This window comes from Homo sapiens, chromosome 9 (assembly GCF_000001405.40).
Source record: "Homo sapiens chromosome 9, GRCh38.p14 Primary Assembly".
Taxonomy (NCBI): Eukaryota; Metazoa; Chordata; class Mammalia; order Primates; family Hominidae; genus Homo; species Homo sapiens.
The window spans coordinates 132,669,740-132,695,686 of record NC_000009.12 but is presented as its reverse complement, the minus strand read 5'-3'; the positions used below and the strand labels follow the sequence as shown (position 1 = coordinate 132,695,686).

At 42.7% G+C, this 25,947-nt stretch overlaps 2 protein-coding genes across 13 annotated transcripts in view, besides 6 other annotated features; one reads left to right on the top strand and one right to left on the bottom strand.

Annotated features, from left to right (window-relative positions):
* Window positions 1-731: 731 nt before the first annotated feature.
* GTF3C4 (general transcription factor IIIC subunit 4) lies at window positions 732-25,652 on the bottom strand. 2 transcript variants are annotated; one of them, NR_133925.1, is made up of 6 exons: window positions 24,732-25,652; window positions 15,884-17,710; window positions 12,429-12,466; window positions 11,994-12,124; window positions 8,360-8,448; window positions 732-6,806 (listed from the first exon to the last, which is right to left on the bottom strand). NR_133925.1 is itself a non-coding variant. In NM_012204.4 (5 exons), the coding sequence occupies exons 1-5, from the start codon at window positions 25,086-25,088 to the stop codon at window positions 6,742-6,744; spliced, it is 2,469 nt and encodes an 822-aa protein (NP_036336.2). In that variant the 5' UTR covers window positions 25,089-25,223; the 3' UTR covers window positions 734-6,741. The 2 variants fall into 2 exon arrangements, 1 of the variants encoding a protein (NP_036336.2); NM_012204.4 differs by lacking the exon at window positions 12,429-12,466 and having other exon boundaries at window positions 734-6,806; window positions 24,732-25,223.
* Window positions 22,071-22,120: an enhancer, noted in NCBI's record as "active region_29221". NCBI's record gives its function as "activates an Ori minimal core promoter by ATAC-STARR-seq in GM12878 lymphoblastoid cells {active_cell/tissue: GM12878}" and the evidence as "EXISTENCE:reporter gene assay evidence [ECO:0000049][PMID:35858748]".
* Window positions 24,935-25,064: a silencer, noted in NCBI's record as "silent region_20436". NCBI's record gives its function as "represses an Ori minimal core promoter by ATAC-STARR-seq in GM12878 lymphoblastoid cells {active_cell/tissue: GM12878}" and the evidence as "EXISTENCE:reporter gene assay evidence [ECO:0000049][PMID:35858748]".
* Window positions 24,935-25,847: a biological region, named in NCBI's record as "NANOG-H3K27ac-H3K4me1 hESC enhancer GRCh37_chr9:135545227-135546094".
* Window positions 24,980-25,847: an enhancer, noted in NCBI's record as "NANOG-H3K27ac-H3K4me1 hESC enhancer chr9:135545227-135546094 (GRCh37/hg19 assembly coordinates)". NCBI's record gives its function as "activates a minimal SCP1, AML or CMV promoter by ChIP-STARR-seq in primed H9 embryonic stem cells {active_cell/tissue: H9 hESC(primed)}" and the evidence as "EXISTENCE:reporter gene assay evidence [ECO:0000049][PMID:30033119]".
* Window positions 25,215-25,294: an enhancer, noted in NCBI's record as "active region_29220". NCBI's record gives its function as "activates an Ori minimal core promoter by ATAC-STARR-seq in GM12878 lymphoblastoid cells {active_cell/tissue: GM12878}" and the evidence as "EXISTENCE:reporter gene assay evidence [ECO:0000049][PMID:35858748]".
* Window positions 25,485-25,634: a silencer, noted in NCBI's record as "silent region_20435". NCBI's record gives its function as "represses an Ori minimal core promoter by ATAC-STARR-seq in GM12878 lymphoblastoid cells {active_cell/tissue: GM12878}" and the evidence as "EXISTENCE:reporter gene assay evidence [ECO:0000049][PMID:35858748]".
* DDX31 (DEAD-box helicase 31) overlaps window positions 25,704-25,947 on the top strand; it is a 76,987-nt gene continuing 76,743 nt past the window's right edge. For all 11 annotated transcript variants that reach the window (NR_136309.2, NM_001322340.2, NM_022779.9 and 8 more), the window contains exon 1: window positions 25,704-25,827. Coding sequence is in view for 9 of the 11 variants with exons in the window: in NM_001322340.2 (NP_001309269.2) it covers window positions 25,753-25,827 (75 nt within the window). In the remaining 2 variants the exon portion in view is untranslated. The remainder of the gene's footprint in view (window positions 25,828-25,947) is intronic.

The following is a 25,947-nucleotide window of genomic DNA, read 5'->3' as shown; positions in this document are numbered from 1 at the left end:
TCGCTCTGTCACCTAGGCTGGAGTGCAGTGGCGCAATCTCAGCTCACTGCAAGCTCCGCCTCCCAGGTTTACGCTATTCTCCTGCCTCAGCCTCCCGAGTAGCTGGGACTATAGGCGTCTGCCATCACGCCCGGCTAATTTTTTGTATTTTTAGTAGAGACAGGGTTTCACCGTGGTCTCGATCTCCCGACCTCGTGATCCGCCCACCTCAGCCTCCCAAAGTGCTGGGATTACAGGCGTGAGCCACTGCATCCAGCCCACCCCACCCAGTGTTTTAACAAATCCTCCAAGTCTTTCTGATGCACATGGATGAACCCATTGATACACTGCCTCTACCATAAAAGCACAGATGACTATCTGCAAAAAATGCTGGTATATTCTCATCTTTTCACAAATACATAATGCTTATAGAGATCATATTTTTCAGGGTCACTTTCCTCACCAAATACTATTTAATTGACATTGTTAAGAACATGTGGCCTAACATATTACTGAACCTCTGTTACTTCCCCTTACATTCCTCCTTTTTCTGGAATAGACAACCTAAGACTTACTGACTTGGTTCTGAGGTAGTTGCTAGTGGCCAGTTCCCTAACACTTCCCTCACAGAGCTCTTTCCTCCTTGTCTGCCCATGCCCGGGCATTACTTAACTTTGTTGGGGGTGCTCAGGCTTTCAGAGGTTTCCAAGCTTTGCTATAAACCGTGGCAACTCCATAAAACAGACACGCACTATACAAATAATTATGTTATTTATTTTGAATAAAAAAGTGGCCAAAATAACAATACTAATGGCTCTGTATACAAACCACAACATATTCAAGGTTATCTCACATTTACAAAACTGCCATTATGTACAGCACTACATATTCACAGCAACTCTATTAGACTCTAAGTACCAGAATCATGTAAGCAATTGAGGGGAATCCCAAATGAGAAAGAGCTAAAACCAATGGTAGTTCATCAATTGGAGAAATGGCCAACCAGCGACTTGGTAAAGAAACAGAGGTTCTGTTACCCTTTTAACAAGTAATAACTAAAATATGATTACCCCACAGGGCCTTATACTGACAAACCACCCTCCCCAAATTTCCATTTCATTTTCTCCATAATCTTCCCCACTTCAAAATTTTCCTAGGAACCTCAGCTCTAATATTAGATAAAAACGCAGGACACTGATATGTAATCTTCAGGAAAAGAAGGTTAAGTAGTGCTAAGGATGTGGGATGATCTGGTTCAACCCAAAAAAGCCAGTTCAAACCCAAGAAAGAACTCTGCCCTCTTCTGGCAGGAGTAGCTTTGTAGTGTTGAACACAGGGGAAGTGAACCACATTTCATCCTGATGAGGCAGGAAGTTACTCACTCATTCTACACGTCATGAGCACCTACCCTGTGCAAGGCACTTTACATTAGGTGCTGCAGGAACAACAAAGATAAAACAATTCCTGCCCTTGAGGAGCTTACAATCTAGTAATGAAAACTATGTACATATATACAATGGAGAGAAGTCACCAACTTTTCTGGATTGGGGGGTATTCCAAGCAAAATGCATTGTTATCAAACTTTTTTTTTTCAACACCAAAAGTCTATAAAACATTCCACCTAATCAGATGGTAAGAATTGAAAAAGCATCTCCTTTCCAAAACCTTATGTTTTTAGATGACTGTTCTGTTTATTTCAAAAAAAAGTCATAGGTAAACACATATATAATTCAAAGCCAAGCACAAGATTTAGTACAGGCATTGGGTAAACATAAAACATGTATCACTATACACAACACAGACTTATTTTTCTATATAGTCTTTTCTATAAACAAGTTTGATATTCACTTTCATACATCAAAGTACAAATCTGAGTCAAAGCCTTGAAAACAACATAATTCTTAGGACGTTTAGCATTTAATTTTCCATTAGTGGAGAGAACCCTAAACCTTACCAGTCTGCTAGCCAAATGTAAACTGGTAAAGTATGAAATGCCTCAAAGCCATCATTATCTCTTACATTATCCAATTTGACCATTTTACAGGATTTTTTTTTTTAATGAAAGTAACAGGATTTCATGACAGTGAGGCAACTTTTTACTTTAAAAATAAGCATAAGATTTAGAGTTCTAAACTTTAATTCTAACCAACCCATTTACAGTATTTCACTTAGCCTATACCTTATTTTAGCATGAGAGTATAATCTTACACTTTCGTCAACTCTTCTCAAACCCAGAAAGAATGAATACCTTCTTAGATCATGTTGGCAAAGCATATCATATTGATCTAAACAACTCTCTGGTTAGGACCCCAGATTTTATAGTAGGTCTTGGCCCTAGAGTATAGTTATGACTCAGAAAATACAAGATAAGCTGAACCACCTAATTAAAAGGATTGGAGGAGAAATATTCATATACCAAAAGAATTAACCTCTTTCTAGGACAGCTTTACAAATAACTACTCGTCTGTCAAATTTATTTCCACAGCAAGTTTTCAAAAACAGCACCATGTTAAACCATCTATGCAGATGGCAGGCTACATCCTATCAATGAGACATGGACTGGCTAACAAGTCCTGACGATGATTTGTATCTGTGCCATGGAAATGAGTTTACAATCTTCTGAAAAACCCCACTTCTTCATCGGGATAGTGATTCTGTACTACTTTAGATAACTAGAAGCAACTCAGTATTTTTGGAGTTTGGCTGAATTCCATTAAAGGACAGTTGCATTTCACATGCTCTATACTAGGTTGAACAGCAGATACCATGCTAGCAGACATGAAGCAGATCTTTACTCCAAAAACCTCTTTTAGCTTCAAGAAAGAGCAGTTCTAAGTATAACTATGAGAGACCTGAGACATAGTCTAAAGCTGTTTGAGGCTGCCAGTTGATACTTGCACTAATGGCAAAAATAAAAACAGTTCATTACAGTTAGATCCTTTAGAGGGATTTTTGATGACCCAACCTTGAAGGCAAAGGTTCCATTCTTGAGACACTCCCCAGTCTCACTGAATTGCTAAACTCCAACGCACAGAAGAGCAGTGAAAGAGCATAAAGATACATCATAATGAATTATGGAAACCATGCAGAGACTCAAAACAGTCCATGGTGGGCTAATTGTAAAGACATTCCTGTATTTGTCTGCCTATTTGCCGTCTGTACTTACTTTGAATATAACCCATTCAGCTTAGCTTAACCATAATTTTTGCTTATGAAGAATATTGGCTGGGGGTGGGAGTGAGGGGAAACAGGTGGTGGGAAGGAGCTAAAATTTCACATCCCTTAGCCCAAAGTCAAACCAAGAGCTACTGAGCACCCTGACAAGGAAATTATAGTTAAGTTTTGAAGAAAACCAGATACAATTAATACTATTACCTTTAGAAAGAAATATTACCAATAGTTTCTTCTAGGAAGTGAGACCCCACTGTACAATTTAGCTTTTAGAAATTTTACCATTAATCCATTTTTCTTTCCAACATGTAATCTGTGTTCTAAAGCAGAGGGAACTAAAGGAATGGAAACCAAGAGGGTGTCTGGGGGAAGGAAAGGCAAGAGAGAGAGGTCAGGAGCAGAAACGATGGAAAGATCCTGTGCCAATCAACCAGTGACCCTAATTCCTGTTTCCATTCCAGGAATTGCAGCAATTCACAAACTCTGAGGCAGTTTAACTGTTGCAGAGAAAAGATGCTCATAAAACCAGTATTGTAATTCTCTTAAGCACCAATAAGCATCAACTTCTTTTGCATCTTATTTGATACCATTATAATTACAAAATAATTGAAATATTTAATTATTGCCTTTTAATATTCTTTTTAACCTAATTAACGTGTTAAACTTGCTGGTAGGTCCAGCCTGCATACTTCAACATTAACATTCTCAAAAACTTCTTAGAGGGAAAAGCAGAAAAATGTCATATTCAACCATGAGCTTTGCCAGTGGCTCTAATAACTTCTGACATTGAAAAATAATTGGTAGTTTTGGCAGATATAATAGTAGGTAGAGATTGCTTGAAGTCTGCCTGGTGGACACACAGGGATTTCAGAATGAGTACCAAGCATAACAAGCTATCAATTTCTTACCTAGAATAATAAGAACAAATTAACCCCAGGCAGAGAAAATGTGATACCTATGTGGGTATCAGACTCCCCAAATGCAACCACGTTGTAGCTTAAAGGGTCTAATTGTATCGAATCTTTGCTCCTGTGCTTTACATGCAGCGCGGCAATAGCACTTCCACTATTTCTCCAGTTCCTGAAACAGTTATTACGGTCACAGCTGAAAGCAACTTGAAATCTACCAAATAAGATCAGGCAAATTTTAGGACGGTATAGAGGATGTAAGTTTGAATTGCAAGAGGCACCTGAAAAACGTCTGGTGCCATTCCCACTTTTCCAAGGTTGCACTGAGCAACACACTCCCATGAGGTATGCTGACCCTCAGAGAAATTCAGAAGCACTATTTGTGAGGCTGCCATTAACTCAAAATCTCCTGTTTCCCCAGCTCTGTAGCTTAACCTCCATGGGTGTGAGACAGGGACAAGGGCAGGGAAAGGCCTTCCAACTGGGTGTGTGGAAACCTGGGGGAGGCAGGTGGTGGCTAGATTTTAGGGTCTTAACAATGCCATTGGGTCCAGTCCCTGCAGTGAGTCCACGTTCTAGAAAAACTGTTGCCATGTTTACTCCTAGAGAGACATACAAAAAAATTTGGGAGATCCTCTCTAGTTACTCCCAATACATTTTCTCAAAAATGCACAACTGCTTTAAATAAAAACCTAAGTTTTAAATGGCAGCAGTCCAAAATTCCCTAGTAAGAACAAATCTCCACTGATTCTAATGGGGGGAGGGGAAGTGAAACTATGCCATAATGATTAAAACTGCAATAATTTTTTGACATGATCTCAATTTTTACTCTTATTTATTGTAAAGTGAAAAAACAGCTGCAGACACAAATGACTTCCACCATACAATGTTCTGAATTCTGTTACTCATGATTTCAATGCTGCTTGGTTTCTTTCTTGAAAATCAATAGTGGATAAACGCTCTTCTTGAAATTACCACCAAATGAGAAAAATAAGCAGAATAGCAAATACATGATTAAACATAGGAGACAAAACAGCAATTTGAATAGGAAACAGAAAACATTTCTGAGCAGACTGTTTAGAAGTGCCTCCAAGGGCTGGTCTGCACTACCTATCAATGCGGGGTGGGGGTGGGGAGGTTGCCGTCATGGTATCATCTAAGTACCAACATTTTTTTTCTTTTTTTTTTGAGGCAGTCTCCAGTCTTGCCCAGGCTGAAGTGCAGTGGTGCCACCTCGGCTGACTGCAGCTTCTGCCTCCTGGGTTGAAGTGATGCTCCTGCCTCAGCCTCCTGAGTAACTGAGATTACAGGCATGCGCCACCATGCCAGGCTAACTTTTGTATTTGTAGTAGAGACGGAGTCTCGCCATATTGCCCAGGCTGGTCTCGAACTCCTGGCCTCAAGTGACCCGTCTGCCTCGGCCTCCCAAAGTGCTGGGATTACAGGTGTGCACCACCACGCCTGGCTAATTTTTGTATTTTTAGTAGAGACACGGTTTCACCATGTTGGTTAGGCTGAACTCCTGACCTTGTGATCTGCCTGCCTTTGCTTCCCAAAGTGTTGAGAGTACAGGCATGAGCCACCAAGCCCAGCCCCATCTGAGACATCTTAACAGACCACTGGGTGGGTAGGGGTTGGGGGCAGAACCTGGATTCCAAATATCAAGGGACTGTGCAGAGGAAAGAAATTCCCAGGCTCTGTTCAACTTAATTGCACAAGCTTACAGCACCAGAGCTCAAGGGTCTCACTTCTGAGCTGTCCCTCTCTAGAAGTCTCCAGACAGACCCCTGGATACTAAATGAAACATCTGGAAATGTCAACATTAAAAATACTGAAAGTCTTATTACTAAAAGAGGAAAATATCTTTTTTTCCTCTGTGTACAAATAGCTCATCTAGGCTACCACAGTTAAGTCTGAAGCAGGGCTGTGGCGTGGGTGAACTACAGTATTTGACATCTTTATACGGATTAAGGAGTTGGGTCAGGAAACCTGATGACCCAGGAGAGAATGAAAAATAAGTCACAATTATTCATTATAATAGTCACCAGATCATTTGACACATTAAATTTTAGTCTTGGCTTCAACTTAAGAATATAGAGTTTTAGGAAAATGTTTTCCATATGCATAAAAAACAAGAATGGAGGGATGCAGACCAGCAGCTATTTTCTGAGAACAAAACATCAGCCCATGTGTTGCTTTACACTTTTAATCTCTGTTGGTACATCAGATGCCACGGACCAAGCAATTTAAGTTCTGGAGCCCGAAGGCAGTTCCAAACCAAAGCAAGGATTAAAACCTAACTCAACCCAGCAAGGTCCTTATCCAAGCTCTCTAGAAGAGACCATTCTGTTTCTAGAAATGACGGGACACTGTGTTCAAATTGCTTCTGTCAAGATACTTAAAAATAAGTAAGTGTTCCTCATTGGTTACAAAGCTGGGGCTAATGCTCATCTCAAAACGACTCCAACTCTCTGAGTCCAGCCATTTCAAAGGACATCCTTTAGTCTCTGGAAATGGAGAGTGCGATTCAGAAATGAGCTCCAGGGGCCCTCTTTACAATCACCAAGGACTTCTCTCCACTCGTGAGGGTCCGGCTTCCTCCAGTGCATCCTTCTCTTCAGGCTGGAGGAAGTTTTCTATGGCAGAGTTCATCATGCCCTTCCATCTTCCCGTCACTGATTATTTAGAAGACAGGAGAATCACAGAAAGGGCAGGGGCTTTGCAGTAACCTCTTAATCCAGTCGGGATCTGCAAAAGGAGGACAAGTGGTATCAACTGTTAGCTTCGGAAAAGACAGTCAAAAGGGATGAATACCGGACTGTAGCGTTGAGAGACGGGCATTCTGGTCCCACCTCTGCAATAAACCAGCTACATATCCCTAGACAAAGCACTTCACTTCTTTGGGCTTCGGTTTCTATCATTCCAAATGAGGCTGGACTAAACTTGTGGTTCACAAAGTTAAATGTAATGAAACAGGAAAATAAGGGTAATGAAGAATGTTTCATAAAGCTAAATTTATTCAATTTAAAGAAAGGAGTATATTCCGAGAATGTGTTCTTCATACATTGTTAATGTTAAAATATTCTCTCATAAAATTACAGTAATAGGAATTTTTAAAAAATGCTATGCCCTTGAGAAATAAAAATGCGGCAACACTGGTCAAATCCTCCTCGTCTTTCATCTATGAAAAACTCTACTCCAGTGCTCTTCTTAGATCCAGTAGCTTCTCATTCTTCTCAAAAGCTTTAAATGGCTAGACTCAAAGTCAATGGGTAAGATTTTTAAAGTTTCAATCTCTTCCAGATTTCCTGCCTAAGCAGCATATCCATTATCAATTGCAGTAAAAATTTAAAAGTTCCCAAAAATGTGTTTCAAAATAATCCATCAGGAGGAGGGAGGTGGGTGAGGGAACTACACATGAAACAGAAAAGGCCATGAGTCAATAATTTCTGAAGTGATGGGCACACAGTGGTTTATTATACCCTTCTCTTTCCTTTTGTGTATGATTGTTGTTTCCCTAATAAAAAGCTACAACAGAACACAAGGTATCAACATACCAACTTATGAGAATTAGAGAGCTTCTGCCAGTTTAGAGCAAAGCTCAAGAATTTATGTAGTTTTATATAGAATGCTGTTTGTTTCAGCTGAGAATAGAATATTCCCCTCAAAATACATATAAAATTGTATATTCTGTACCTAGTTAGCTCACTTGGTTAGAGTGCATTATTAACGTCAGGACAAAATCTGACATTTGCGTCATTATTAAATCACTAATTCCTGCCCACTCTACAATCTTATTTCCAGGTAGTTATCTCAGAAACGGATGACATTAGAACTATCAGGAAAGAGCACATAGACCAACCAGGAAAAAAACCCATCATGGCTACTGGAAGAATGACTCCAAGTGAATATCCTATTACTGGTTCAATAATGTCTTCGTATAAAGTATCATCCACAGAGTTTACATTCAAATATAATCTATCTATGTCATCTACTGAAACAAGCTCTGACATTTTTTGGAATGAATAATTTGTTTGCAGTGACAGAATAGCAACGCAGACAAACTTACATACTAAATGCAGTAAGCACTTCAATATGACATATTCCAATGGCCATGTTTTAGTTAGCTGTGGCTTCACAGTAACACCGTAAAGAGCAGCAGGGGCCTACTCCCCACCCCCCACCCCCGACAACACAATACCAAGAAGTGTAGAGCGTGACTAGAACTGTTATTCTGGGGCGCTGGCCCTCTGCCAGCATGTTCCACCCACCCACCCTCCCAAGTAAGGGAAAGCACTCACCTTCTGGAGCTGGATGCCGGGCAATGCTGTCATGGAGCAAACACCTTCTATATATCAAACTCTGGCAGGACTGGTAGGTTAAGAAGCACCTGAAAGAAGACAGACTGTATTGGCAAGGGAGAGGGTTTGCTCTACTAACACTCAGAAACTGATGTTTCTCCATCACAGAGAGTTATCATAAAACCACACATTAACCAAATGAAAGCATGATACTCATACATTCACATAACAATGCATCCCCCTGTGCACCAAAGCTGGCCAAACCAATACTCCATGCTTAGCAAAGAGACACAACGGTTCTAATCCAGGTAGATTGCAGTTTTCCTGTTTGAGCATCAGAAAAGAATTTAGTCTGTCCACACCTGACCGCACTTTAAATTCTTGATCTGTTTTTTAAAAATTGATCATGTATTATATTGAGAATTATTCGTTAGGTTTTTTGTTGTTGCTGTTGTTTTGAGACAGGGTCTCGCTACGTTGCCCAGCCTAACCTTGAACTCCTGAGCTCAAGTGATCCTTCTGCCTAAGCCTCCCAAGTAGCTGGGAATACAGGCATGTGCCACTGGGCCCAGCTTTCTAATAGTTAAGATTAGAAAGTGTCTTTAAGACTCTGACAGTACACTGGGGAAAACCCTGAAGAATATCGAAGGCAAAATTAATGGTGCAAAAAAATGACAGGACACTAACAAATGTTCACAGGTTCAATTCCATCCAAGGATTATTCTCTGACCATCTACCAGCGCCAGGCAAATAAGGACAGGTGGGATGCAATGAGATGGGAAAGGGTACATCTGGGTTGCAGGGAAGGTTTCCCAAAAAATAACAGTTTTCAGGTGAGCAACTAAGGAGCAGAAAACACAAAGGAGGAGGTTGGGGAAGGGACTCCAAGCAGGCAGAGGTTAGGGGAAGGGACTCCAGGCAGGCACACCTTGAGTAAAGAACTGAATATCTAGGAAGAAAGATTACAACTGAGTGACAGCAAGCACTGGTTCTCACCTAGAGAAATCATACTGGGGTATTTCAGCCCTAACTTTAGTCAAGAAAAATGAAAACAGTTTTCCTGAAAGAACCCATCTAGGAGACATTAATGTGTAATGCTTACACATGTGGCTTCTGGAGACAGAATGTCAGGTTCTGAGCTATGCCACAAGCCACCATTGTGACTTGGGCAAATTATTTAACTTCCCCAGGCCCCAATCTCATCTGTAAAAACAAAAGTAATCATGATGCTCCCCATACATGGTTGTTGCAAAAATACATTCCACCTATCCTTATTTGCCTGGCCCTGGTAAAGGCTCAATGAATAATCTTTGGATGGAATTGAACCTGTGAACATTTGTTAGTGTCCTGTCTCTTCTTGCATCATTAATTTTGCCTTCAATATTCGTCAGGGTTTTCCCCAATGTACTGTCAGTCTTAAAGACAGTAGTTATACCCAATCTTAACTAACAGAAAGCCAGGTGCAATGGCACACACCTGTAATCCTAGTAACTTATTTTCACAACCACCATAATATAGTAACTTAATAAGTGTGTACAGCTTAGACTGTGCCTGGCATATTAATAGCACTCAGTATATGTTTTTATTTTTATTACTAACCTAAAATATACTACAAGCTTATTTCCTATTCTTTTCTCTTAAAAAGTCTGAACACTCAAATTAGAAAAAGTGTAGAAGCCAGGCATGGTGGTACATGCCCATAGTCCTGGCTGCTCAGGAGGCTGAGGCAGGAGGATCACTGGAGCCCAGGAGTTCGAGTCTGCCATGGGCAACATAGTGAGACCTCATCTCCCCATCTCAAAAAAAAAAAAAGTGTAGGAATGCAATACAAATTGGAAAAAAAACAAATTATAATAAGGGGGTAAATTATGAAACATTCATACACTAGAAACCTCTATAGCCATTAAGAATGTTATCTTTGTAGTGATGTAGAAAAATGTACATACATTTTGATAACAGAACTGGTGAGTTAATATGGTACGTGTAGCACAATCTTGTTAAAAATTTGGCCGGGTGCAGTGGCTCACGCCTGTAGTTCCAGCACTCTGGGAGGCCAAGGTGGGTGGATCACTTGAGCCCAGGAGTTCAAGACCAGCCTGGTCAACATGGTGAAACCCCGTCTCTACCAAAAATACAAAAAAAAAAATTAGCCGGGTGTGGTGGCGCATGCCTGTAGTTCCAGCTATAGGGGAAGCTGAGGTGGGAGAATCGCTTGAACCCAGGAGGCAAAGGTCACAGTGAGCCAAGATTGTGCCACTGCACTCCAGCCTGGGCAATACAGCAAGACCCTGTCTCAAAAAAAAAAAAAAAAAATTAAAAAATTTAGTGCCCACCATGTACTAGGCATTGTTCTAGAAATAGCTGTAAACAAAACACATAAGTTCCTGTCCTCATACAGCTTTCCATTCTAGAGGAAGGACAAGGAAAAAATATATTAAATAGTGATAATTATTAAGGAGGAAAATAATAACGCAAGGAAGGAGGATGCAAAGTAATGGGAGGGGAAGGTATGTCAGTGGGGTGTTACAATTTTAGATATGGTGGCCAGGAAGGCCTAACTGATAATGGGAAACTGAAGGAAGCCACGTGGACATCTGCTGGAACAGCATCCTAGGTAGAGGAATCAGCCAGTGTAGACGTCCTGAGGTGGAGGGCGCCTCACGTACCTGAGGAATGAAGCCATTCTGCCTGGAGTGAAGCGAACAAGATGGACAAATACAGCAGATGAGGTCAGCGGGAGGACAAAGGGAGGAAGGGGCCCCAGGCTGTGTGGCGTCTTGTGGATCACTGAGAGGGTTTTAGTTTTACTCATCAGAAACAAGTAGCCAGTGACAAAGTTTTGATACAATCACTATCACAACTATAATAACAGACTGGAGGGGCAAGGATGGAAGTGGGAAGACCAGATGGAAGGTAACTACAGGTGTAATAAGCTGGGCAAGAGATGATGGTGTTTTGGACCAGGGCTGCAGAGGTAGGAACAAAAGGTTGGATTCCAATTTGAAATGCCTATTAAACATCCAAATAGAGGTACTGAGCAGGCAGTTAGATATATAAGCCTAGACTTAGGGGGAGAGATACAGGCAAAAACTCTATGTTTAAATCATCAGTGTGCAGATGATAAGCAACCACCCAGGGAAAGTGCTGAGAGAAGAAAAACAGGCAGAAAGACAGACAGCTGAGGTGCCCATCAGCAAAGACAACTGAGAATGAAGAGTCAGAGACAGGACAAAAACCAGGGAGTGCTGTGTCCCGGAAGGCAGGTGATGAAAGTGCTTCAAGGAGGGAGTAATTGTGCCAAATGCAGCCCACAGGTCCAGTAACATGAGGACACACCAAGGTCTTAGAGTGAGGCTAGGAAGAGGAGCCATAATTTGTTCAATTAGGAAAATGAACAAATAAAACAAGAAAACTCCTATATATTAAGCAGTAAAAAACTGTCTTTAAAGGCCAACTTGCTTGAGTGACACTGATGAAAAAAGTCCACATCAGGCTTTATAATAGCAGCTTTTCTCCAACAAATTGGCAAGGGCAACAGATAACTGGCATAAAGTTGCTATTCTGTCACATACAGTAGTTTGTGCTACACAAAACTGAAAAATGAGCAGAAGTAGAAACTTTTAAAATGGCTTACCGGAGCCAAATGTGGCCATTGGAACAGACTGCCTGTTTGCGATCTGTGAATGGCAAGATCTCTTTACACAAACTACAGTGCTCAGGGAAAGTCTGTTTGTTCATCTTCTTTGAGATATGTCCAATCAGCACCTAGTAAGACAAAGTAGTCAGCAAAGTTTAGTGTAAGTGCAGGATTTCCTGAAGAAAAAGCCTACAAACACAAAGGGAAAATTAAAAAATAAAGAAAAAAAGAAAAGAGCAATATTTTACAGAAGACAGGAGATTTGCATTTCCACAAATCCTGATTATACTGTCTGAAAAATAAAAGAACTAGAGTTTCAACCTGTGTCAACTAGCTAAATAAAATAAATTTATTCAGGTACTCTGTGATAACAGGGTAAACTGTAACCACTAAGGAGAAAACTGTTCTGAAAACCAAAATCTTATTACTTGCCTTGTTTTAGTTGCTTCTGAAACAAGGATTTCAGAGTTCTGTTAGAAGACAAAGTATTTAGCTATTATTTATAATGTTTTGACTTTAAGAAGAAAAAGCATAATCTCTATAGGCAAAATATTATGTGGAATACTGCTCTCTTTGCAGAACTGTACAAATGTCTATTCTGATGGCCCAAAGACCCATGGCCAACATGGTCCAGTAGCCTGCAATCTGAGACAAGCTGACCCCACTGCAGAGGCATGGCAAGACCCACGATAGGAGCAAGAAGCTGGGAGTGAGAGAGGTAATGGCACAGGCTCTAGGCCTTTCTTTGCTTCAGTTTTGCTTTTCTCTGCTTTAAGATTACACTCTTGGCTGGGCACAGTGGCTCATGCCTGTAATCCCTGCACTTTGGGAGGCCAAGGCGGGTGGATCACTTGAGGTCAGGAGTTCGAGACCAGGTGGCCAACATGGTGAAACCCCGTCTCTACTAAAAATACAAAAAGTAGCCAGGCACGGTGGCACATACCTGTAATTCCAGCTACTCAGGAGGCTGAGGCAGAAGGATCTGCCTGAGCCCGTGAGTGGAGGTTGCAGTGAGCCGAGATTGCGCCACTGCACATCAGCCTGGGTTGACACAGTGAGACTCCATCTCAGTAAAAAAAAAAAAAAAAAAAAAAAGATTATACTGTTTAAAAATAAAAGTCTGAAAAGAAAACTTGAATCCAATTCTTTTTTTTTTTTTAAAACTTCACTGGATATGTAATTTGGAGGCTGGGATACACAACCCTCAAGAGTTGTCTTCTCTTACTAGTGATAGCGCCCTTCTAGTTTCGAATCCATTTCTGCTTAACCTCTTATGGATGAATCCACAAGATTTTGGATTAATTCACTAAAATTAGTTCACTTACGTTTCAAAGGGTGTCTTACTAGCTCAGAAGTTGGTAAGCCAGCTATCTTACCTCTTCTGTATATCCTCTACAAATTTAAATCCCATTAATTTTTGGCCTTTTTTCTTTTCAGTCTTAAGAATTCTAACATATGGTCCCTAACAGCAAAGATGACCAAACTCACTCTGCTATTCTAGACAGGCCAAACATCCTGATAATGATACAGTGACAAAAACTACTCAGAATTCCTCCCATACATACCTCTATTTTTTCTTTTTCCTTTTTAAGACAGGGTCTCGCTGTTGCCCCGGCTAGAGTGCAGTGGTGAGAACATGGCTCCCCCATCAGCCTCCCAAGTAGCTAGGACTACAGGCCTGTGCCACCACACCAGGATAATTTTTTTTTTTTTTTTTTTTTTTTACTTTATGTAGAGACAGGGTCTCACCATGTTGCTCAGGCTGGCCTTGAACTCCTGGGCTCAAGCGATCCTCACACCCTGGCCTCCCAAAGTGCTGGGGTCACAGGCATGACCACTGTGCCCGGCCCAGATATATCTCAATTTTACATAAGGAAGGATTGCTATTTGTTCTCAGTAGCCCTGATCTCGGCAAGCTGAACTCTCAACTGTGTTATTCTGACTCACACATTCTCAATGGGAGTGATAGTCCTTCCAAAGCAGCAAATATTAGTTCTTGGGACAAAAAGTTCTTACTTTTACGTATAAAACATAGATATACACACAGTACATAAACAGACACACAAAATACATTAAAACTTCATGGGCAGGGGCAATTCAGAAAAAGTGTCTAAAAATGTTCGGGGGGGAGTGATAATTTAAAAAGGTTAAAAAATGCTAGTTTAACTGTACTAGCATACTAGGCTGATAATCTCCAAAATAATTTATAACTGCTAATAAGCCAACATCCTAGGTTTAAAAAGTCTTCATTTTATGCATATAGTTGGATTTTTAAGACAGGAATGCGTGGTCTTCAATAAACTCAGTTGCTATAAACAGGGACGGGTGTGCAATCTTCTGGTTTTTAAAATGGCTATGTTGGAATCACATCACCATGCTAAATGTAACTTCCCAGGCTCATGGAGTATCTGGACAATTATTCTAAATCATTACAAATCCAACCTCTAGTACTTTCTAACATGTTTTTGCTAATTTTTCACTGACTCTTATAATAAACCTAACCAGGTCCCATGGCACTGTGATAACCAGAATACTTTTCCAGACAATGTGGAACACAATGAAACAACGTTTAAAAATTAACTTTTTTTTTTGAGATGGGTTTTGCTCTTGTCGATTGTGCAATGGCACAATCTCAGCTCACTGCAACTTTCGCCTCCCAGGTTCAAGCGATTCTCCTGCCTCAGCCTCCCAAGTAGCTGGGATTACAGGCGCCCGCCACCACACCCGGCTAATTTTTATTTTTAGTAGAGACGGGGTTTCGCCATGTTGGCCAGCTAGTCTCCTGGTCTCCTGACCTTGTGTTCTGCCCTCCTCGGCCTCCCAAAGTACTAGGATTACAGGCGTGAGCCACCACGCCCAGCCCCAAAAGTTAACTTTTAAAGAAGTAAAGTCAGTTACATGAACAGTGCATCTTAATACTCTTAAGACCATTGCAAACATTCTATGAGCAATAATTTCAAAGGCGAACGTGTGTACACAAACATACACATTCTTTCCAACAAGAAAGTGCAACAAGTGATTGTGAATGGCTTAACATTAAGAACAAGGATACTGCCTTCAATTAATACTTTAAATAAGACTTTAGTCAGTAAGTATCAGTCTTTGAAGTAAAAAGGAGTACAGATATTTGTGGTTTTGAATATTTCAGAACACAGTATATTTCTTGGAACACAAGTTCTTCAGGATTTTAACAACTGTTAGCTGCAAGAAAGATTCTCTGATCAAGAAGTCTGAGTAATACCGAGCTACACAAAGGTATCAGTTTCTTTTCTGTAGGAATCCTCAGAACGCTTTGAGTGGTAATATGCACTGGGAACCCTAGTGCTCTGTTAAGCAACTTAAATTCTATAGAATACATTCTAGGTAAGTTTGTTCTGTTACCAAAATAAAGACTGTGCCCAGTTTTTGTAAAAATGAGACATGAGTAATAATTTGTTTACTTTATATGTCTTTCTTGACTAAATCTGAAGATATCCTTAAGTTCTATCAAATGGAAAACATGTCACTACACCCCTCCCATACAAAACTTTTGCAAAAGAGGAAGGGCAGGGAGCATGGGCACCATATTTCTACAGCCATGATTGCCCATCACATACTACTCAGCTAAATGCAGCCTCTGAGCTAATCCAGTCTGGAAAGCTCATCCTGCAAACTTTGCATATCTAACAAGGCCAGTGTGAAGAAGAATCAAAATATTCTTTATATGCTATGAATGCATCCTCTGCATTAATCCACGCTTCCTATTTATTACCCTGCACCTCAAGCAAATAAATTACCTAAAAAATGTCAAAGCAAAAGTTGAGCTTCAGGAACTCAATTTAGGTCATTTCTTTCTCATGAAGAAAGCAGGCTTTACAATTTCAGAGTTTTTGTTAATAAACACCTACCCGTGCAGTTCTGTCATCATACTCTTCATCAGACATTAAAAAGTTACAGAGTCCGCGGGTGGGGATGCTAGTGTTTTCTGTGATCCAGGTGTGCAGATACACTTCTCCTAAGACTCGCTTCATGTGTTCCCTGGTCAAGTGCATCTCCACAGCTTCGATTTTCCCTTGGATTTCCAGGAGTTTCTCTTCCATTGGCTCACGGCCTCCAGCATCTCCAGTCGTGGGGAGCGAGTCATCAGTGGGCTCCTCTACATCTCCTTCCTTGCTCCTCTCCTGCAGGCCTTGCTTCACCACCTGTTTGGAAGAAGTGCCTTCTTCCTGCTGTTCATCGTCAGCATTGCCCATCCCAGGCGAATCCACTAGTAAGATTTTTGAGTCCTCATGGGTGGGTTTCCACAAGGCTTCTGAAGGGGTTTTCTGCATTGACTGATATAAAATCCTCAGGAGGAAAAGCTTAAAACGCCAAAAATAGGTGACTCCACTGCTTTCAATCTTTTTTTCCAAAGCTTCTTGTAAAAATTGAGGGATATGTTTATCTTTTAAAATCTTCCAGCGTACTAGGTCTATTAAATCTACCTGCTTAAAAAGGTTTTGAACTGAAGATTCCAGGAGCTGAGCAGCTGCCTCTTCAAAGGTTTTGAGAGTAACAAATTGGACCTGGTAGTTTTTGTTAACAGGGTGGAGGCCGTTGATCATGCCCTCAGTGGTGATGATGGCCAGGTATGCACCGCAGGGGCTCACTGCTATCCCGTGAGTCCTCACTGAGCCAAACACATCTGAGAGTTTAATCAACTGGTGTTCAAACTTCAATGCAACATCTGTGAAAATGGGAATCAGCTGCCTCACCTTTCCGTCACTGGAGCAAGTATAGACTGTTCCATTCTGTTTGTCTGCAGTCATGGAGACAATTGGCAGTGAGTGAAGGCCTGTGACATGGGAATTGTGAACATTCAGCCCTGCTTTGGAGATCAGAAGAAGACACCAAAATACATAAGAGCCTCTTGCAGCCACTACTAAGCTGCAACTACACTTCTGGTAAGGATGATAAAGTGGCACACATTTGATACTGTGCACAGGTAACTGGTCCATTTCTTTCCACAAGATAACAGGCTGCCTTAAAGTGAAATAGCCTTTGACTGCTTTGAGATTGACAGGAAGAATTTTTATGGGTCCAAAAGCACTCCCCACAATAAGGCCACTCATTTTTCGATTATTGTGCTCATATTCCCACCAAAACAATACACTGGGAGAGGTGATTCCTGACTCAATTGTGTTGCATGAAGAGATGGATTCTTTTCCTACAAACGGCAGCTGAAACTGCCACACGGCGATATTACCGTTTTCAAAGAGGACAGCCAGGAGCACACTGCCAACGTCCCGGCATTCGTTGTTATGCTTGACCTGCTGGGTGGTACAGATGCCCGACCACTCCATTCTGACTGGGGTCTGCATGCTGTGTCTCCTCTGAAACTCAGCAAAATCCCCGAGATTTCCTTCCGGGGCCTCATTTTTAGAGAGCCTGTAACTGGTCTCATAAAGACGTTCTCCATAGATCTCAGTCAGGTCAACCAGCTGGACCCACTGCAGTCTGTTGAGATTTGCCTGGATGGTCAGGCGATTGTCCATGGTCAGTGCTGCCAAGAGGCACCTGCCATTAGCATCGCAACCCATGGGAGACCAGCTGGTGTACTTGAATCCTCTCATTGGTGGTAAAGCCTTCCCCTCAGGGTTGAACACCCTATCCAACATGAAAGTCTGACTGACCGTGGGGTCCTTGGAGGCGGCGAATTTCTCCTTGCACTCAGCAACTTCTGTTTTTGAGCCAACCTGAAAATAAGAGATATAAAAACTATCAGATGAGCATTTACTCAAGGAGATGGCAATTTTTTAAAATAAGTCAGAATGTCATTATTCATAGCCTGGTTCCCATATTCTTCTTAGAATTAATATATGCAAGAGAGATGTACTTGATTCTTAAGATTCAACAGAGCATTTACCTGAACTAGTCACAAAACAAAAAAGGTGTTAACAAATTTATGAAAATATGTATCTATATATATCTTTGATACAAATTGATATTTAGATTTTTACAACATCTTTGCAATACAAATGCCAGCTTTAGGTCCTTTATCTGAAATTTCATTGACAAATAATGGCGAGAGCCAACTCCAACTGCTTTGTTTACTGTTTCTATAGAATAATGTTCACTCTAATCAGACTATTCTAGTTGCCATTCCTGAACATTCCCACCTCAGCTTTCCCCGGCTCCCTTGCCTAGTTCTTCTCCCTATGTAAATCCCATCTATCCTACCAGATCTAATTCTCCCTATAAGGCCTTTTGAGGTCATTCAAGCTTTCATTCATCTCTCCCTCCTCCAAGTTCGTAACATGTATGGGACAGTAAGACAGAGTCTCATTCTGTCGCCCGGGCTGGAGTGCAGTGGCACAATCTCGGCTCACCGCAAACCCCACCTCCAGGGTTCAAGTGATTATCCTGCCTTAGCCTCCCAAGTGGCTGGGATTACAAGCGTGCACCACCACACCCAGCTAATTTTTGTATTTTTAGTAGAGACAGGGTTTCACCATGTTGGTCAGGCTGGTCTTGAACTCCTGACCTCAAGTGATCCACCTGCCTCGGCCTCCCAAAGTGCTGGGATTACAGGTGTGAGCCACCGTGCCCAGCTGTGAGCTCTTTAATAAGATTTTAAAGGGACATCAAAGATGGAGGAAGAGATAAATGACCAAAAGAAAGTGGTTCAGAACCATAAAAAAATAGGAAAGCTAAAGCCAAAAAGAGCAGAGACTAGCCAAAAGATGTTTTGTTATGTTGAAAGCAGGAAGAAGGAAGGACTTTATCCACTGTCTTTAGAGAAATGGGTAAAAGAAAAAGAATGCTTCAATTATTTTTTAGTGTCAATTTCCTTTTTCAAAGAGGCTGCTCTTTAAACTGGAAAGGGTAGAACATGATTAAAAGGAAATTCCAGCCTAAGACACACATGGATATAATAAAAGTCACTTGAATGAGTTTAAATGTTCAAGCCTAGAGGAATTACCCTCCAGGACACAGAAAGCACTTGGAAGACATTAACTCAGAACCACTTACTACATCCTAGATGAAGTCTGGACAACTGGGGATGTATCAGAAAATCAGAGTGCAACAAAGAGTTAAAAAATATCCCCCATGGCTGGGCATGGTGGCTCACACCTGTACTCCCAGCACTTTGGGAGGCCGAGGTAGGTGGATCACTGGAGACCAGGAGTTTGAGACCAGCCTGGGCAACATAGTGAGGCCCCATCTCTACTAAAAATAGCAAAAAATTAGCCAGGCGTGGTGGTGGGCACCCATAACCCCAGCTACTTGGGAGGCTGAGGCAGGAGAACTGCTTGAATCTGGGAGGCAGAGGTTGAAGTGAGCCGAGATTGCGCCACTGCACTCCAGCCTGGGTGATGGAGCCAGGCTTTGCAAAAAAAAAAAAAAAAATCCCCCAAATGGTACATAAATAACAAAAACTACAGACCATTAAGCCTAACAGAAAATTCCTCAATGTATTAACAAATGAATAGTTTGTGCAGACAGGAGTGATGATTAGAAACAAGCAAAGGATGGCTGGGCGTGGTGGCTCACGCCTGTAATCCCAGCACTTTGGGAGGCTGAGGTGGGCGGATCATGAGGTCAGGAGATCGAGACCATCCTGGCTAACACGGTGAAACTCCGTCTCTACTAAAAATACAAAAAAATTAGCCGGGCATGGTGGTGGGTGCCTGTAGTCCCAGCGACTCAGGAGGCTGAGGAAGGAGAATGGCATGAACCCGGGAGGTGGAGCCTGCAGTGAGCCAAGATGGCACCACTGCACTCCAGCCTGGGCAACAGAGCAAAACTCCATCTCAAAAAAAAAAAAAAAAAAAAAGGGTAACTGGAATAGTCTATTCTTATTCTCTTTTCTGCTAAAATTGCTAGATGACATAATAGATAAGCAAATAAAATGAAATGTAAATAGAAAATTGTCCACAAAATAGAGAACTAACTTTTCCTACAGTGTGTTTCACAGTACACTACTCCCTTTAATTGTCCCTTGAAAAATAGTTCTATGGCCAAACAAGCTTTGGAAATACTATATTTATATGTCGTTCTCCCTTGAAAAGTGACACGAGGACACTAAATGCCTCGGCCAGGGAACTACTATAAAGACCTACTGAGCCACAGGAAGCCAAACTTTTTTGCCTTTTTAAACAACAGAGCCTTTTTTTTGGAGGTGAGGGAGGCAGTTATTACCCTTTATTATCCAAAAGTATGTGGAATACTTTGGGAATGGTGTTTTAGGCAGTGTATCTTGATTTTAGGAAGGCATTTTAAAGTAGTCTCTTGGATACACTATGAAACTTGCTGGAGAATCATAGACTGAAAATGCCAATTAAATGAGGTGTAGGTGGCTGGCTTGGAAATAAAACAATGCTAATCAAAGCCCGGTGCTTTCTACAGGCAGATGAAATTTGTGAGATGACATAATGAAGCACAACATAATAACTGAAAATCTGTGCTATGACGCCAGACTACCTGGGTTCAAATGCTGGCTCTGCTACATACCAGCTCTGTGTGCGCAAATTGCTTAAACCTTCTGACCTTAATTTCCTCATTTATAAATGAGACTAATACATGTCCCAGAAAGTTAGGAAGGTTAAATAAGTCAATATATCAAAGCATATATTAAGCGCTCAATAAAGTTACCTATGATAATTGTTAATATACTCTGAGGACTAAGTTAAAAAAAAAACTTTTGAGATTCCTCTCTGTCACCCTGGCTGCAGTGCAGCTGGCGTGACTACAGCTCACTGCCGCCTCAACCTCCCGGGGTCAAGTGATCCTTTCACCTCAGCCTCCTGAGTAGCTAGGACCACAGGTGCACACCACCATGCCTGGCTAATTTTTAAAATTTTTTGTAGAGATGCGGTCTCTCTCTGTTGCCCAGGCTGGTCTTTAACTCCTGGGCTCAAGCGATCCTCCGGCCTTGGCCTTCCAAAGTGTTGGGATTACAGGTGTGAGCCACAGCACTCAGCCTTAAGTAAATGTTAATAAGATATTTAATGCTAATAAAAGTATGCAAAAATGCAAGGTAGACATAAAGTTGTGTACCAAATGAAAGGTAGATATAAAATTGTTCATCAAATCCTTTAATACTGTGAACTAAGCAATACTCCTTAGAATAGGTTAAATTTGCTACAAATAAAAGCTACTGTAGAAGTAAACTCACAGGATTGGTAACCCAAAGCAGCAGCACGGGATGAAATAAAGGAAGCTTAAGCAACCCTTGGTCCTACTCATTGTGGGAAGAATTCTTGACAGGATGGAGAGCAGTACAGATCTTGACTGGTAGGAAAAAGTCTTAGGGTTTTGTGTAGCAATTTCTGACATATGTTTCAACTAGACTACTGAACCTCCCTCCAACTCTCCCTATCACAAAACTGTTAACAAATCAAGTATTCAGATGCCCAAGGAGTATACTTAAAAAGTCCAGCTCCCAGAGGCCTGCCCGCAGCCAATCATTTAATTGTACACCATCCAGTTTCCAGTTGACCACTATTAGGTTGGTGCAAAAGTAATTGCGGTTTTCACCATCACTTTTAATGGCAAATACTTTTAATACTAACTGTTAGGCATTTTGTAAGCACCTGACAAAAATTCACTTGAAGCTTTTAGACAGTAAGCTTCTTGAGGACAGGTAATAGAGTCCAAAGACAGGCAACAGTTATTTAACTTAATGTAGCAGATGAAGTTAATACTTTCTAAGGCTCCTAACAATTGATGCACAATACAATTCGGTACACAAATATTATCAGAATTTGGAACTATACACAAATGTCTCACTAGATGAGTCACTAAATCAGTAGTCCAATGGGAAAAACAATTCTGACATTCTTAAATCACTATTTCATTGCTTTTCAGATTTATACTGTCCACCTTTATATCATACAATCTTATAAAACAGCTGATAATTAATGTCTGAACTATTACATAACTGCAGATTTTCCTGCAAATTCATAATCTAAATAACAGAATTATAGAGCAAAAGCTTCAAAGGTGTTTAGTACCTAGCTTTCTAACAGTGCTACACTAAAACTGTCATCTGCGCTGCAGACTGTCCACCATTTAGGTTAGCGCGAAGGCATGCTGCACGGCACCGAGCAGATTTAAATCCACAGACTGCCAATGGGTGGAGTCATCAAAGTGCTGACACAGACTTCTTTACATTCCTACCGTCACACCAGTTTTAACCCACAGAGGGCTCTTGTAGAACTGCAGGGTCAACTCAGCATTCATTCACTTCAATCAGTCTAAAAAGACTGCTAAATGACTGATGGTTTATGTGATGTGCATATTAAAAAAAAAACAACAGTACAGAAGGGGAAGATGTTACTAATTAATTTCATAGAAGCCATTTGTCAACTATAAGAGAGCTATATAAGGATTTCCTGTTACTAGTTAGCAGTTGTGGTAAATGTTAACTGAGGCAAAATGACAGTCAAAATTTTATCAGAATACTCATGTCCACAACCACGACATTAATCCAGACTCCTACTCCTTCATACCTGTATAACTGCATTATATTTTCTTTCTTTTTTTTTGAGACGGAGTCTGGCTCTGTCGCCCAGGCTGGAGTACAGTGGCGCAATCTTGGCTCATAGCAAGCTCCGCCTCCCGGATTCACGCCATTCTCCTGCCTCAGCCTCCCAGTAGCTAGGACTACAGGCGCCCGCCACCACGCCCGGCTAATTTTTTGTATTTTTAGTAGAAACGGGGTTTCACTGTGTTAGCCAGGATGGTCTCGATCTCCTGACCTCGTGATCCGCTCGCCTCGGCCTCCCAAAGTGCTGGGATTACAGGCGTGAGCCACCGCGCCCGGCCCAACTCATTATATTTTCACCTTGAGCATTTACAGCGTGCCAAGAACTGGGCCAAGTGATTATGTGTGTTTAATCTTCCAAAAAACCTAAACAACGCTTCATTATCCCCCTTTTATAGATAGGCCTATCTTGTGCCAAAGCCCAGTCTCTTCACTTTTATTTTACACTGATCACAACAATCATCTTCTTGCCTCTATCCAGTAATGTTCCTGAACCACAGCAGGTCACTCTATGCTAATGAAACTGTAACAGCATCTTAAAGACTTCCTAGATTGAAGCCAACTTCCTCATACCGACCTTCCAAGTCCACAAACTGGTCTCATCTTACTTTCTCGGACTCTCTAGAAGACCTACTTGAGCTCATGTACTGATCCGTCATTATACAAACAATAATTAATTATGTTCATGACTTAAACGTGTATGCACATGGGATGAATGCCTCATTCCTGCCGCCTGGAATGCCCTTTCCTTCCTTCCTCTTACAAACCAAACACTACCTTCTTTAGGACTGCTGCAGATTCACCACCAGATGACCTGCCCCATAAGTCTCTCCCCTTACTACTCCCTCCTTTCTTTACATTCTCTCTGCTAAGGTATTCGATGTCTACTATACTGACATACATACTTTCCTTGAGTTGCTGTGCGGATGAACATCCTTGGAAACAGTTAAATTCCTTTACAGCAGAAGATACACCTTTTAAATCACCTTTCTTCTGCCTCCCTCCTTTTGTATTTCTCAATTTCATAGGGTTGCATCTGTCTATCTGATTTGTTTACACTTGAACAAATGTGTTCATATCTTCTTCAAGAAGATCTTAGAGGAAGCTTAGTCATACAAGCTGACTAACAATCTAACAACAGAAAGATGTTTGAAACTTGAATTAAGTATGCTACAAAGTGATGAGGGTTATCTGCACCCTACCTATAGCTAATGACTCATATTTTCAATGGTTTTCCAAAATAAGAGTTTACGAACACATAAACATGTTCTCTATGTGCGGATACACATCTTTACAGTGCTTATCACTACCTGACAGGACCTTATCATTTGTGCTTGACTTGCCAAAGAATGTAAGCTTCATGAGGGCAGGGGTTCTGTTTTGTACACTGCTTTATTTCCAGAACATGGGGCAGCACCAAGCAGAATGGTATTCAAATATCTATTGAATGTATGAATATACACTGACAGTTCACATGTAAGCGTACACCTCTATCAAGGATATATGGAAAGTTTTTACACCTCTAAGCAACTAAAAGGAACGCTATGGCTTACTACTTGACCTTGCGCTTGAAGTTTAAGATAGGTAGTTGTTTCGAATCTTTATTTTCATTCAACATCCCAAAGATGTTTAGCTAGTAAAGAAAAACTAAAGTACAAACCCCGAGATCCAGTATTTACCCGTTTGCCCAAGGAGAGGCGAGGACCATTCATAATAAAGTCACTGAAACAATTAAGACAATGGATGGGACCAGTTTTTCTTTTCTGAAGCTAAAGAGGCGCGAGAGGAGGACACACACAGTAGACAAAGCCAGCCAAGAACCTCGGAAAGTCGGCCCCAAACAATAGCAGCAACGACAGAGGCAGGCCCCGGGTTGGATCTACAGGGGGTGGAGTCTCAGAAAGCACCATCGAGTAACCCGCTCCATGTGCGGGCCCGACGGAGGGGCGAAGGAGGGGTTCCTGGGACTCAACTCCGGGAAGCCCCCTGGGTGTGTACCTGTGTTTGCGGCGGCGGGTGACCTGGGGAAACAGGGTGCAGACAGCTGCAGAGCTTTTCTTTTTTTTTTTTTAAGCTGTGGTAACCCTGGCTGCTTAATAAATCCCCAGCGCTCGGTGCGAAGAGGGAAATCCCCGGACAGAGTGTGGGATCGGATTCCCCTGGGACGGATGATGCGGCCGCGAGAGGGGGACAGGGGAAGACCCCAGGGATGGCGGGGGATGACTTACTTTGAGGAGACAGCTGTTGAGCGGTGCGGGCACCGAGGTGCGGTGGATAACCAGGTCCTGGCCCGGGTTGTGCACGTCGCAGATGAGCTCCAGCACAGCGATGCTGCGGGCCGTGGACACAGACACGCGGTGGTCCTCGGACCAAGCCAGCGGTTCCAGGCCGCTCACCGCATACTGCAGCTTCACGGCCGGCTCCCGCCGAGTCACCATGAGGCGGAATGCAGCGCTGGGCCCCGGGGCCGCGTCCGCTGCTGGCTCCTTCCCGCCCGCCTCGCCGCCCCCCTCTCCCTCCTCCTCCCCAGACGGCGCAGGCCCGTCGTCCGCGGGCCCCACCCGGGCCTGGTCGGCCGTGTTCATCTTCTCTCAGGTGCAGAGGTCGGACGCCCTGGCGCTCCACGCAGTCGCGCGACCACCTCCCGGACCGCCGCCGCCACCCCCAGCGCCCTCCGCGGCGGTTTTCTCCCCTCAGGCCCCGAGCGCCGCCGAGCCAAGAAGGACCCCGCCGTTGCCAGGCAACGCGGCCCTACCAGGTGGCCAAGGAACTGCCTGTCCAGAAAAAGGACAGCGAGCGGGGAGCCCCGAGGACCCCCTTTTCCCTGCCCAGGGATTGAGCTCCAGAGCCTGTTAGGGAGCTACCCAGACAGGCTTTAGTTCCTAAAGTGCTGAGGAAACGCACGGGGCGGTAAAGGGGAGGCTCGTCGGTGAGATGGCGCCGGATCTCGCTTCTCAGAGGCATTCAGAGAGCTTCCCCAGCGTGAACTCTCGGCCGAATGTAATTTTGCCAGGCCGCGAGGGACGCAGAGAGGGGCTGCCACCAGGCGGGGGCACGCGCGGTAGTCTTGTCCCTACCCGCCCGGTGCCGCCGTCCCCGGCTCCCCTCGGGACGAGTCCGTACAGCTGGAGCCGTTCCGGACCCGGAAGGGGCGGTGGCGCAGGGTCCTCGCGCGTCCCACGTGGGGTCCCGGGCCCAGCAGTCTGCGCACCGGGCTCGCTGCTGCACCACGCGTCACCCACGCAGACCATGGCAGCCGCCGACGGTTCGCTCTTCGACAACCCCAGGACGTTCTCCAGACGTCCCCCAGCCCAGGCGAGTCGGGTGAGTTCTGACCCGGCTTCAGCTCCGTCCCCACCCGCGGCCCGGCTGTGGGCGCGCCGCGAGCTGCAGCCGTGCCTTGGAGTCGGGTTTCGAGTCATTCACGGAGTTAAGCGGGAGAAA

Bases quoted from the DNA above. Each gene is read 5' to 3' on its own strand.
- GTF3C4 (NM_012204.4), bottom strand. From the start codon at position 25,088: ATGAACACGGCCGACCAGGCCCGGGTGGGGCCCGCGGACGACGGGCCT. The intron at 12,125-15,883 runs GTAGGTGTTTAT...TTGTCTTACTAG, and splicing joins ATGATGACAGAACTGCACGG to GTGCTGATTGGACATATCTC. The intron at 6,807-8,359 runs GTGAGTGCTTTC...CTCCTTTTGCAG, and splicing joins CCGGCATCCAGCTCCAGAAG to ATCCCGACTGGATTAAGAGG.